We start from the raw sequence: 14,522 nt of genomic DNA, 5'->3' as shown, positions 1-14,522 counted from the left end.
GGCCATCATCCCAAGATGCCATTAATGCCGGGACAAGAAACAGGGCTCAGGGAAGTGACCCCGAGACAGGAGTGAGGACAAAGCCCTCATCTCCCAGGGGTGGGGTGTTTGTTCCAGGCTCTGAAGTTTGGGAGGCCTATGTCATATTTTGTAGGGTGTGGGGGTGCCTCAAGGAGGCAGTTAAGGCCCAAGGTGGGAAACTGGTCCCTGGGGGATGGACGAGGGTCTCAGCCCCCATGTAGCTGCACAGAACTCTGAGGCAGGGCCTCGTGGTCAGGTGTGGGGTCCAGAGTCTGTCAGACCCAAGGACAGGCTGGTGGTGTTGTGTGTGCTCAGCCTGGGGGGTCTATGGTCTTGGGGGTCCTGAGGGCCAGGAGGGTCTAGTGCTGGCATGGAGGTGTGGAGTGTGTTGGGCAGCCTGAGACAAGACCCCGGAGGAACTCTCAGGAGAGCCTGGGCACATTTTGAAGCATATCCATTGCTGGAAAGGAATATCCCTGTGGGGGTCTGTGGGACCAGTCTGTGGTTTTCCCCAGTTTAATCCTTCAGTTCTGGCATTCAACAATAGATTTTTCTGGCTCCCAGATTATAGCTCTGTTTTCTAAACTCTAGCTCAGTCTTTTCCAAACTTGGTTGGTGGTAGGCTTTGGAAGAACAATTTCACCAAACTTCTCCAAGATCCAAGTGTCAGATGATGAAGAGCAGAGCTCAGGAGCCAGAGTGGTCCTCTAGCTTCCACCAGTCACCCAACATGTAAGTTACCACCACAGGGGCGGCTCTGAGTGAGTGTCTCCTTAGTGGTTTCCTTAGTGGGTGGAAATAAACGAAGACCACCCAAGCAAGGACAAAGGCTGTTTATTCAGAGCTGCTATAGCAAGGGGGTCCGCGGCCATCACTTGTGTCCTGACAGACTCACAGGCAGGTGAGGAGTGGAGAAGCTTCATCATGGAAAAGGGGAGGCTTCAGAGGCCTGTTGGAGGCTGTGGGCCTGGGGAAGCCGGAGGCGGCTGGTGAGAAGTGGGCATCCCATGGGATTGGCTAGGGGACATACTGGGCTTTCTCTGGTTAGTCCTAGATTGGAAGCAGGGACAAAAAGTAGGAAAACTGTCAGTTATTATTCAAGTCCTGGCCCTTTGGGTCTGATTGTTAGAGAATGTATTGTTTAATTTCCCATATTATTTCTAGAGATAGCAATCTGAATTCTTACCAGCCTGGCATGGAGCAGGCTGGCCTCCCAGGCTGGTTCCTGTAGATGATGGCTTGGCTTGCTGAGTTGGTTCCTGTAGATGTCAGGTTGGTTCCTGTAGATGTCAGGTTGGTTCCTGTAGATGTTGGCTTGGCCTGCTGGGCTGGTTCCTGTAGATGATGGCTTGGCCTCCTGGGCTGGTGGCTGCAGGGGGTGGGTGGGAGTTCTACTCTTATAGATGCTCTGGCCATTGTCCATTTGTGTACTCAGTCTCCGAAGTGCTCGGCCATAGTAAGCACTCCCTAAAAAGTAGCTATTGTTGTCTCTCCCACCTGATGATGACCAAATTATTCACCTGGACTGTCTTAGAACTAAGTCCTGCCCATGTCAGTGGCTGCTTGGCACACACGCCCTGGGCCATCTCCAGATCTGGCTGACTCTGGCCTCATGTGGTCTTTCCATGGCAGCTCTAGCTAGGGGGCTTTGGCACATAAGTGCGGTCAGATGACATGGTGGAAATATTTGTTGAATGGATTGCTAGACTCCTTTCCTAGAGGCTCAGGGTCCACAACCAATGTCGTCATATTGTATGTGCTTTGCATTTTAAATTCTCTAACGTCATAGTCTTCCCCAGGCCAGCATACATCCTTTACAGGGAATAAGGCACTTTCAGAATGTCTTATCAGTCCCTCCCTTCGCATTTCTTGATTTCTCTTTCTGTCCTTCTCTCCCTCATTTCCTTTGGTATGTTCCCTTGATCTCCAACTTTTCTTTAGTTTCTCATTATTCTGACTATTCCCTAATTTTCACAGCTTCCAAAATATTTCCAGAATGGGAGATTGTATTACTTTTTCCTATTGCTGCTATAAGGCTTAAAACAACACAAACTTATTACCTTAGAGTTCTGGAGGTCAGAAGTCTCATGGAGCTAAAATCCAGGTGCCAGCAGGGCTGGTTTCTTCTGGAGGCTCCAGAGGAGGATCCATTTCCTTGCCTTTTCCACTTTCTGGAGGTCACATGTATCCCTTGGCTCATGGCCCATTCCTCCCTCTGAAAGCAAGCAGTGTAGTATCTCCAGGTCGGTTGGCATCTCTCTCCTGTCCTCTCCGACCCCTGCTCTGTTATCACCCCTCCTTCTCTGACTCTGGCCCTCCTGCCTCTCCTGGAGGGACTCCTGGAGGGACTCTGTGATTACACTGTGCTACCTGAATAATTCAGGATAATCTGCTCATCTCAAGACCCTTCCTTGCATCTGCAGAGTCCTTTTGTCATGGAAGGTGACAAATTCATTGGTTCTGGGATCAGGACATGAACAACGGTAATAGGCTGAACTGTGACCCACCCCCCCTTTTCATGTTTAAAGTCCTAACCCCCAGAACCTCAGAATGTGATGGTACTGTGAGATGGGGCCTTTAACTAGGCAATTAAGCTATGAGGTCAGTAGAGCGGGCCCTAATCCAACCTGACCAGCATCCATATAAGAGAAAATTTGAACAAGGACACGTATAGAGAAGAGACTGTGAAGACACAGAGAAGACAAGCATCTTGGCAGGTCTCAGAGGAAACCAACCTGCCCACACCTTGACTCGAACTTCCAGCCTCCAGAATTGTGAAAAAAAAGAATTTCTGTTGTTTAAGCTGCCCAGTCTGTGGTATTTTCTGTGTTACAGTCTGTGTTACGGTGGCCTTACCAAACTACTACGACATCCTTGGCTGGTTATTTGTCTGTCAACCACAGAGGTTATAGCCTACATGTTGCCTAAGTTTAGTTAGTTTTAGAAGCACTAATACTTCTTATTTTACTTGACAGGCATAAGAAGCCAGGGGCCTACCTCTGCCGAAATACTTAAATGGGGTGAGAGGGTGTGAGCCTCTCAATAATTGAAAGTCTTTGGCTTCTAAATTTGACACGGCCCCTTTCAAAGACAGCCAGGAGGCAACAGGCATTTTCCATCAGAAGGTTAGGACTGGAGTGGAGTCAGGCTTTTCAAGCACTGGCAGCTTGTCCAACACAAAGGGACACTGTCCTAATGGAGATGAGAAACTGTGGACCCAGCCTGGAGAGAGTGATCGGGAGGTCTGTGTGCACGTGGACGTGATCCATCCTGGAGTAAATTCAGGAGAGTTTACGGACGATAATAAAATTGACTAAAGCACATTGTGGATCCCCAAAATCTGAGACAGGTCTCAGTTAATTTAGAAAGTTTATTTTGCCAAGATTGCAGACACACATCTGTGACACAGCCTCAGGAGGTCCTGACGACATGTGCCCAAGGTGGTCAGAGCACAGTTTGGTTTTATAGATTTTAGGGAGACATGAGACATCAATCAGCATATGTAAAATGAACATTGATTCAGTCTGGAAAGGCGGGACAACTTGAAGTGGGGAGGGGGCTTACAGGTCATAGGTAGATAAGAGACAAATGGTTGCCTTCTTTTGAGTTTCTGATCAGCCTTTCCAAAGGAGGCAATCAGATACACATTTATCTCAGTGAGTGGAAAGGTGACTTTGAATAGAATGGGAGGCAGTTTGGCCCTGAGCAATTTCCGGCTTGACTTTTCCATTTAGCTTAGTGATTTTGGGGGCCCAAGATATTTTCCTTTCACAACACGCACTTTTTATTATCACCATGGACTAGAAATTCTACACAACGTCAGTGCTGAAGGACTCCTGCCCGCTGCTGAGGAGGAAGCTCTTCCACTGGGGTGGGTGGGGAGGTGAGGGCTCTCTCTCCGTCCTCCAAAACTGCTGCGAAGGCGGCCACATGGTGTTAGAGGAAGGAAGAACACCGAAGAAAAGTGACTGTGTCAGAGGATCACAAAAATAATTGTGCAGTTATTTAATGTATTTCTCCTCCACTGCCGCACAAGCACTACGAGGGCAGGGTTGTTTTTGTTCTGATGATTACAGCAACATGGCCTAGCATAGTTCATGGCACACCATAGACACTCAAAATACTTCCTGAATGAATGAAGAAATTCTGCCTGGAAGGGACTTTGTAGAGTCAGGTGAAGCTGACATCATTTGTACATTGCCTTTCAATTTTTTTTTTTTTTTTTTGACAGAGTTTCACTCTGCTGCCCAGGCTGGAGTGCAGTGGTGCAATCTTGGCTCACTGCAACCTCTGCCTCCCAGGTTCAAGTGATTCTCATGCCTCAGCCTCCCGAGTAGCTGTAACTACAGGTGCACCAGCATGCCTGGCTATTTTTTATATTTTTAATAGAGACGGGGTTTCGCCACGTTGGCCAGGCTGGTCTTGAACTCCTGACCTCAAGTGATCTGCCCGCTTCAGCCTCCCAAAGTGCTGGGATTACAGGCATGAGCCCCCGTGCCTGGACTGCCTTTCAATTTTTAAAGGATGTTTACATTCATCTCATTTGATTCAAATATTCGAGGTTGTCAGTATCTGCATGGCTATGATGACAGTGGTCCCTTCAGGGAGGTAAAGGGCCTTGCACACACCCTGGTGTGACCCATGGGAAACTGGGATTGGAAAGCAGCCTTCAGACTCTGAATCATCTTCTTCAGCTTCTTACTTTCTCAGATAAAGAAACAAAAGCCAACAGAGGTCAAGTAATTTTCACAAGGTTATACAACTTGCTTACATAAAAACAAAATCATGGAGAAAATCTGTACGTAAAGATAAACAGTATTTTTCTCAATTATTTTCCTGCAGTTCTTTTATTCTAGTCCAAGGCAGATTTCTGAGCCAATGGGTAAACACGCCTAATGGCTTCTTTTGAGAAAAGTCTGTTCAGATCCTTTGCTTGTTTTTAGATCAGGTTACGTGTTTTCTTGCTATTGATTTGTGTTCCTTGTATATTTTGGATGTTAACCCCTTATCAGCTGTATGGTTTGCAAATATTTTCCTCCCATTTCACAGGTTGTCTCTTCGCTCTGTTGTTTGTTTCCTTTGCTATGCGGAAGCTTTTTAGTTGGATGCAATCCCATTTGTCTATGTTTGCTTTTGTTGCTTGTGCTTTTGCCATCATATCAAAAAAGTCATTGTCCAGACTGATGTCAAGAAGCTTTTTCCTATGTTTTCTTCTAAGACTTTTACAGTTTCAAGTATTGCATTTAAGACTTTAATTCATTTTGAGTTTATTTTTGTATTTGGTGTGACATAAGGGTCTAATTTCATTCTTCTGCATGTGGACATCCAGTTTTCCCAACAGCATTTATTGAAGAGACAGTTCTTTTCCCATTGTGTGTTCTGGACACATTTGTTGAAGATCAATCAGCTGTGAATGCATGGATTTTCTTCTGGACTCTCTGCTCTGTTCCATTGGTCTGTATTTCTTTCTTTTTTTTCCTTTTGTTTTGAGACGGAGTCTTGCTCTGTTGCCCAGGCTGGAGTGCAGTGCGTCACTGGAGTGCATCTCTGCTCACTGCAACAACCTGTTGAACTGCAACAGGTTCAAGCGATTCTCCTGCCTCAGCCTCCCAGGTAGCTGGGATTACAGGCGCCTGCCACAGCCTGGCTAATTTTTGTATTTTTAGTAAAGGCGGGGTTTTGCTATGTTGGCCAGGCTGGTCTCAAACTCCTGACCTCAAGCGATCCACCCGCCTCGGCCTTCCAAAGTGCTGGGATTACAGGTGTGGGCCACCTTGCCTGGCCAATTAGTCTATATCTCTGTTTTTAAGTGACCATCATGTTGTTTCGATTTCCAAAGCTTTGTAGTATATTTTGAAATCAGGTATATGTTTCTAGCTCTGTTATTTTTGCTCAAGATTATTTTGGCTATTTAGCATCTTTTATTATCTTTTATTTAGCTCCATGCAAATTTTAGGATTATCTATTTCTTTGAAAAATGCAATTTGAATTTTGATAGGAATTGTATTGTAAATCACCTTGGATACTACATTTTGACAATGCTAATTCTAACAATTCATGAACATGAAATACCTCCCCACTGATTTGTGTTTTCTTTCATTTCTCTCACCAGTGTTTTATAGTCTTTAGTGTACAGCTCTTTCACCTCCTTCCTTGGTGAAATTTTTCTTAAGTATTTTATTTTTTGGTAGCTATTGTAAATGGGATTTTTTTTCTTGCTTTCTTTTTAGACAGTTTGTGATTGGTATTAGAAACCTTACTAAATTTTGTATGTTGATTTTGTATCCTGTAACTTTACTGAACTTGTTTATTAGTTCTAACAATTTTTTTTGGTGGAGTAGTTAGGATTTTCTGTATATAAGATCATGACATCAAATGGAGAAAATTTTACTCCTTCATTTCTGATTTGAATGCCTTTTATTTATTCATTTATTTAGCCTAATTATTCTGGCTAGGACATCCAGTGCTATATGGAACAGAAGTGGTGAGAGTGGGTTTCCTTGTTTGCTCCTGATCTAAGAGAAAAAGCTTTCAGCTTTTCACCCTTGAGTATGATGTTAGTTGTGGGTTTCCCATATATGGTTTTTATTATATTGAGATGCGTTCCTTCTATATCTAATTTGCTGAGCATTTTTTATCATGAAAAGATATTGAGCCAGGCACGGTGGCTCACACCTGTAATCCCAAGGTGGATGGATCACTTGAGTTCAGGAGTTCGAGACCAGCCTGGCCAACATGGTAAAACCCCGTCTATTCTAAAAATACAAAAATTAGCCAAATGTGGTGGCACATTCCTGTAATCCCAGCTACTAGGGAGGCTGAGGCAAGAGAATCGCTTCAACCTGGGAGATGGAGGTTGCAGTGAACCGAGATTGCGCCACTGCACTCTAGCCTGGCTAACAGAGCAAGACTCCATTTCAAGAAAAAAAAAAAAAAGAAAACATACTGAATTTTGTCAAATATTTTCTCTGTATCTATAGAGATAATCATGTACTTTTTATCCCTTATTCTATTAATGTGGTGTGTGACATTTATTGATCTGTGTATGTTGAACCATCTTTGCATCCCTGGGGTGAAACTCACTTGATCATGGTACATGTGTGTACTATAAAATTCTGTTTGCTAGCATTTTGTTGAGGGTTTTTGCATCTATGTTCATCAGGAATATTGGCCTGTAATTTTCTTTTCTTATAGTGTCCTTGGGTGGCCTTGGTATTGGGGTAATGCTGGGCTTGTAAAATTAGTTTAGATGTATTCTGTCTTCTTCGGTTTTTTTGGAATAGTTGGAGAAGGATTGGTGTTAATTTTTCTTTAACTGTTTGGTATAATTCACCCATGAAGCCATCTGGTTTAGGGCTTTTCTTTGATGGAAGGGTTTTGATTACTGATTCAATTTTCTGACTTATCATTAGTCTGTTAAGATTTCTCTGTTTCTTCATGATTTAGTCTTGGTAGGCTGTTACATTTCTAGCAGTGGGTCCATTTCTTCTAAGTTATCCAATTTGTTGAAGTACAGTTTTTAATAGCAGTCTCTTACAATCTTTTTTATTTCTGTGGTATGCATTGTAATGTCTCCTTTCTCATTTATAATTTTATTTATTTGAGTCTTTTCTCTTTTTTCTTAGTTAGCCTAAGGGTTTGTCAATTTTATGTTTTCAAAAAAGTAACTCTTATTTTAATTGATCTTTTCTATTGTTGTTCTAGTCTTTATTTCACTAATTTCTGTTCTGATCTTTGTTATTTTTTCCTTCTGCCAAGTTTGGACTTAGTTTTTTCTTCTTTTCCTAGTTTCTTGGGATGCAACCTTAGGTTGTTTATTTGAGATTTTTCTTTTCTGATGTAGACATTCATTGCTACAAACATCTGTCTTAGAACTGTTTTTTGCTGCGTCCCATAAATTTTGGTTATGTTGTGTTTTCATTTTCCTTTGTCTCAAAATATTTTTAATTTCCCTTTAAATTTTGTATTTGACCCATTGATTGTTCAGGGGTGTGTTTAATTTCCATCTATTAATGAATGTTCTGGTTTTCCATTTGTTCTTGATTTTTACTCTCATACCATTATGGTCAGAAAAGATACTTAATATGATTTCTGTCTTCTTAAATTTGTTAAGACTTGTTTTGTGGCCTGACATACAATCTTTACTGGAGAATGTTACATGTACACCTGAAAAAAATGTATATTTTGCTGTTGTTGGATAGAATGCTTGTGTATGTTGGTTAGATTTATTTGGTCCATGGTGTTGTTCAAGTCAAGTGTTTCCTTATTGATTTTCTGTCTGAATGGTCTGTCCATTGTTGAAAGTGAGTTGTTGAAGTCTTTTACTATTATTGTATTACTGGGTATTTATTCCTGCAGTTCTATTAATATTTGCTTTATATACTCAGGTGGTCCAATGTTGGGTGCAGATTTATAATTGTTATAGTATCTTAATAAATCGATGACTTTATCATTATATGAGAAACTTCTTTGTCTCTTATGACAGTTTTGAACTTAAAGTATATTTTGTCTAAATATAGCCACTCTACTCTCTTTTGGTCACCTTTTGCATGTAATATCTTTTTCCATTTTTTTACTTTTCACCTCTGTGTGTTTTTAAAGCTAAACCAAAATCTCTTATAGGCAGTATATTGTTAGATCTTGTTTTTTTTTTTTTTTTTTTTTACTCATTCGGTATTCCACATCTTTTAATTAGAGATTTTAATTCATTTACCTTTAAAATAATTATTGATTAGGTATGGAGTTATTATTGTCATTTTGTTACTTGTTTTTAGTTCAGTCTTTGTGTTCTTTAGGTCTAGAATTTCAGTTTTTTAAAATGGTTTCTATCTCTTTATTTAACTTATAATTATGTCCATGTACTGTTTTCCTGATTTGGTTTAGTTGTTAATTTGTGTTCTCCATAGCTCACTCAGCTTCTTTAACATGATTATTTTGAGATTTTTGTCAGGCAGTTAGTATATCTCCATATCTTTAGAGTCAGTTACTTTATTTTTTTCCTTTGGTGGTGTCATGTTTCCCTGATTACTTGTGATATTTGCCTTGCATTGGTGTCTGTGCATTTGAAGAAGTAGGTACTTCTTCTAGTTTTTACATCCTGGCTTTGACAGTGAAAACCATTCACCAGTCAGCACATCTAGAGATTTTGGGTGGGCCACCTTGTGGGGATCTGTGGATAGGATTGTTGCTGGAGTCTTCAGGCAGTTTGGCCTGGTTTTGGGTCATCAGGTGGGTGAGCCTGTTTCTTGGATTTACAGGGGACTTGCCTAGTGCCAGGGTCCACTACAGTAGGCCTTTTGACTCGGTTTTCAGGACCAGACTTGGAACCCATGTCTGCAGGGCCTGGCTGGAACCCTGGGTCCACAGGAGAAGATCTGGTACTGGAGTGGAAATTAAGCATGAGTCTGCAAGGGGATGACTTGGTGCTGGGAGACCTGGTGTCTGTGTCCATGGAGATTAACCTGGTCCTGAATCTGTGGGGGCTGGCCTCACACTAGGGTGAACTTGGGGGAACCTGGCATCTGGCCCCTGGGGGCAGGTCTGGTGTGGGAAACCATGGAGATGGGCCAGGAGACTGCATCCTTAGGCATGGTCCTGGAGCCTGGGTCCATTGGGGCCAGCCTGGAGCCTAGTTCCATGGGGGTGGTCCTGAAACCCGAGTCTACAGTGACTGGTCTGGTGTTAGGGTTTATAGGGGAGGGCCTGGATCTTGAGTCCACTGGAGTGTGTAGCCTGAGGGCTACATCTGAAGTTTCCTTCCCACTGAGGGGCTCACCTGGTGTTGGAGAAGACATGGAGCCTAGGGTCATGGTGGGGGGGACTTGGGGTCTTGCACTAGAGGAGCTGATCACTGGGGCATTCCTGAAGTCTGGGACCATGGGAGTAGGTCTGGTGCTGGGGCCAGTCCAGAATCTGAGGTGGGCCTGGAGCCTGAATTTGCAGAGTTAGCCTGGAGCCTTGGACTTTGGGGTCTGACTAGGCACCAGGTTTTACTGCTAAGGTCCACAGCAAAATTGGGGGCTCACTTCACTCTCCCTTCCCCACATGGAGGGTCTCTTTCCAGGCTGCACTGCCTGGGCTTGGGGGAGGAGTGATGTGTGTCATCTGAAACTGTCCTTCCTGCCCTCTTTTCTATTTCTCTGCTGCACCCAGGTGCTGAAATGTCTCCCTTGGATTCCTTTGCTCTTATGAAGGTATTTTCACGCATGAATAGTTGTTCAAATGGATGTTTCTGAGAAGGCACGGCTATGGAAAATCCTATTCCGCCATCTTGCTTGGGAGACTGACTGACCTTTTGAATATTTTTACTTACAGTAATGCTATTTAAGGAGTAGATGATTTATCCAAATGTAGATGGAATGGGATTAGTCCTCTCTATCAATCCCTCTCCCCTCAAATCAAAGGAAATAGCAATCAAGAGGCAAAAACTTTGATAATCTGGTTCACCTTCTTTGTGTTATTGTATTCATTTCTGTTAGCCATGTAAACATAAAGTTTTAGTGCCTTAATGAAACATCTTCAGTTTTTCCCCTCTTTCATTTTTCCAGGGTCCACATTCCACAGAGAGACACAATTTTGTGGGTATAGCCCGGCCTGGATTTTAGTCGTCTGTAGTCGTGACTTGCTATTGCTTATATTAAAAAGTCCTGTGCAGTGGTGCTGGGAATGTCATGGTTGAGGTGCCATTACTCACAGCAGGTGGAGACACGTGGTGGCACAGTGCACAGTGCACAGCATGCCCTCAGCAGCAGTAGCAGCGGAGGAGGCTCCCCGCAGTCCCCAGTGCCGATGCTGCCCCCTCGCCCCTTCTGCTCTTCCTCCCTTCACTGGCACCATGGCTGATCAGCTGACCAAAGAACAGATTGCTGAATTCGAGGAAGCTTTCTCCCTGTCCTATAAAGATAGTAATGGCACTATCACAACAAAGGAACTTGGAACCATCATGAGGTCACTGGGTCAGAACCCAGCAGAATCTGAATTGCAGGACATGATCAATGAAGTGGATTCTGATGGCAATGACACCATTTAATTCCTCGAATTTTTGACCATGATGGCTAGAAAAATGAAAGACACATATAGTGAAGAAGAAATCGTGAGGTATTCCAGTCTTTGACGATAGTGGCAAAGGTTACATCAGTGCAGCAGAACTACGTCATGTCATGACAAACTTAGGAGAAAAACTAATAGATGAAGAAGTAGATGAAATGATGACAGAAGCAGATATTGATGGAGACAGACAAGTTGATTATGAAGAATTAATACAGATGATGACTGCAAAATGAAGACCTACTTCCAACCCCTTTTCCCTGTTCTAGAAGAATCAAATGGAATCTTTTACTTACCTTTTGCAAAAAAAAAAAAAAAAGAAAAAAGAAAAAAGTTTCTAATTTTTTGTTTCTGTTTCTTTCTTTCTTTTTTTTTCTTAAAGACAGAATCTTGCTCTGTCACCCAGGCTGGAGTGCATTGGTGTAATCTTGGCTTACTGCAACCTTTGCTTCCTGAGTTCAAGCAATTCTCATACCTCAGCCTCCCAATTAGCTGGGATTACAGGCGTGAGCCACTACTTTCAGCTAATCTTTGTGTATTTTAGTAGAGACGGGGTTTTGCTATGTTGGTGAGGCTGGTCTCAAACTCCTGGAGTCAAGTGATATGCCCACCTCAGCTTCCTAAAATGCTGGGATTACAGGCGTGAGCCACCATGCCCAACAGATTCATTCTGTTTCTGTATAGCAAAACTGAATGTCAAAAGTACCTTCTATCCAAACACACAAAATCTGCATGTATTTGTTGGTGGTCCTGTCCCCTAAAGACCAAGCTACACATCAGTTTTACAATATAAGTACATGTACTACCTTAATAATAAGGACTCCTCAAAGTTCCATTTAGTCATGATTAATACACTGTTTGGGCCGGCCAGTTTTTCATGCATGCAGCCTGACGACTGAGAGCAGTCAGCCATTTGTATTTAAAAAAAAAAAAAAAAAAAGGAGAAAACAAATCCAAAACCTATTCAAATGGATTCTGGTTCAATTTGTTTAGTATAAATTGTCATAACTGGTTTACTGAAAACGAACATTTAAAATTGGTTTATCTTAGGATGATGTGCAGAAAAATGGGGTGAAGGATAAACTGTTGAGACGTAGCCCCACTAGCGGGATGGTCATCTTGTACTTCTGTGTGCTGTGACCCATGGTGACGATGACATACCCTGGTGGCATGCCCACGTATGTTGATTTAGCGTTGTCTGCATTGTTCTAGAGTGAAACGGCTGTCACTGTTCACACACATTTTTAACAAAAAACCTTTACCAAGGGAGCATCTTTGGACTCTGCTTTTAAAACCTTCTGAACCATGACTTTGAGCCAGCAGAGTAAGCTGTGGCTGTGGGCTTCAGCACAGTCATCAACATTACCGTTCAACAAATTACAGTTTACTTCCATTCCGAGTTGTAAATGCTAGTTTTTTTTCCCCAATAAAAAGATGATTAACTTAAAAAGAAAATTCTAAGGAATCTACAAAATGACCACTAGAGCTAATAAAAAGTTGCAGTCTATATGGTTATTATGCAAAAATCGATGTAAATTTAGTATGCTAACAGTACAGAATTAGAAAAGGAAATTTTAAAAATTATATTTACTGTAAGAACAGAAACATGCAATGTTTTGCAATAAATCAACAAAAATGTGTAAGACCTCTATACTGAAAACTACACAATGGTGGTGAAAATATTGAAGAAAACTTAAGTAAATGGAAATATATACCATGTTTATGGCTTATAAGAGTCACTATTATTAAGATAGCAGTTCTTCCCAAATAGGTGTATACATTCCGTGAAAGCCCAGCAGGACTTTTTGTGGGAATTGACAAAATGATTTTTTAAAATCTATATGGAAATGCAAAGCACCTAGAATCTGCAAAGCCATCTTGAAAAAGGGGAAAAAAAAGTTGGCAGGCTTACATTGCCAGCTTTCAAAACTTATAGAAAGCCGGCCGGGCGCGGTGGCTCACACCTGTAATCCCAGCACTTTGGGAGGCCAAGGAGGGTGGATCACGAGGTCAGGAGATCGAGACCATCCTGGCTAACGTGGTGAAACCCCGTCTCTACTAAAAATACAAAAAATTAGCCAGGCGTGGTGGCGAGCGCCTGTAGTCCCAGCTACTCAGGAGGCTGAGGCAGGAGAATGGTGTGAACCCGGGAGGCAGAGCTTGCAGTGAGTGGAGATCGCGCCACTGCACTCCAGCCTGGGCGACAGAGCGAAACTCTGTCTCAAAAACAAACAAACAAAAAACTTATAGAAAGCCAATAAAGCTGCAGTGATCAAGACAATGTGGCACAGGCATAAGGATCAACAAACAGATAAAAGGCATAGAAAGCCCAGAACTGGGCCTGCTATTACATGACTATACCTAATTTGGGAACAGTGGTTATCCTTGTGATTATGGATATAATTACAGATATGATTATACTCAACTTGGGAACAGTTTTTTTTTTTTTTTTTTTTGCCTATATTAAGTGTTGTCAGGTCAAGGAGGTATGTACTGGTTGAAAAAAGATCCTGATTTGTAGGAAAAGACACAGCACATGGTGATGTTTTAGAGAGTTAAAATTTGGAGCCATTCTCCATATTCATTGGATAGAATCATCATCCCTCCTCTGCCTTTCAGCCTATATAATCAGTAAGAATTATATGGCAGATAAAAATCTGGCATTGAAGGATCAATCAACTATTAGACAATTGATCTCATTTTCTCATGTCGTCTATCTACATCTCTCATGTCATCTGGCATATCATATGTTCTAGGTCAGTCCTGAGTTCAACTAGTCTGTCCTGTGATTTTCACTATTATTTACACTTGTTAGGTCACTATCGTGGGGTTCAGAATATTGGTGTGAGGTGGTGGCATGGGTGCTTTTTTTGGAGCAGTTGTGGGGTGGAATCCCTCCTGCATGACCTGAGGCCACAAGAAACCCCTTCCACCACAGGTGTATCACACGTAATAAACCCTCGTGTGCCTTGTTACATGATAAGCACTTTATATACCTTAGACATTTTAACCTAAATCAACCCTAAAAGGCAAGGTTATTTTTTCTACTAAATTTCCAACAACTAGGTGAACTAAAAGTAGGTTGAAAGACCAATTCTTATGAAAGAATGATTGTCAAAAAGAAAAAGATAAATTCTTCTGAAGAGACGAGAGACATAGGAGCAACTCAGACAGGAAACTTTTAATGGGTTTTAATCCAGGGTTTACAATGTTTTGAATCTGCAATTCTGAAATCCAAAGCAGATCTGGAAATTGAATGTTTTTGGCAACAAATTGGGTGGCAAAATCTGAACTATTTGTAGCTCTGTGTGCTGACGAGCATTGTGAGTGCCCTAGAGGGGCATCAAGCTTTTGCCCACAAAATCCTTTCTTTCCTTGGAGCATCTCAGTGGAGTTGTGTTTTGAGAAATAGTGCCTGACATAAGTTCGGTATTGCTACGTAAGACCTCTTTATT

At 42.1% G+C, this 14,522-nt stretch overlaps 1 pseudogene; it reads left to right on the top strand.

Annotated features, from left to right (window-relative positions):
• On the top strand, positions 10,818–11,430 carry CALM1P2 (calmodulin 1 pseudogene 2; annotated as a pseudogene).

The sequence above is a fragment of the Homo sapiens genome, chromosome 7, assembly GCF_000001405.40.
Source record: "Homo sapiens chromosome 7, GRCh38.p14 Primary Assembly".
In the NCBI taxonomy this organism is placed as follows: Eukaryota; Metazoa; Chordata; class Mammalia; order Primates; family Hominidae; genus Homo; species Homo sapiens.
The sequence above is the reverse complement of the archived record's forward strand: the minus strand, read 5'-3'. Positions and strand labels throughout refer to the sequence as shown.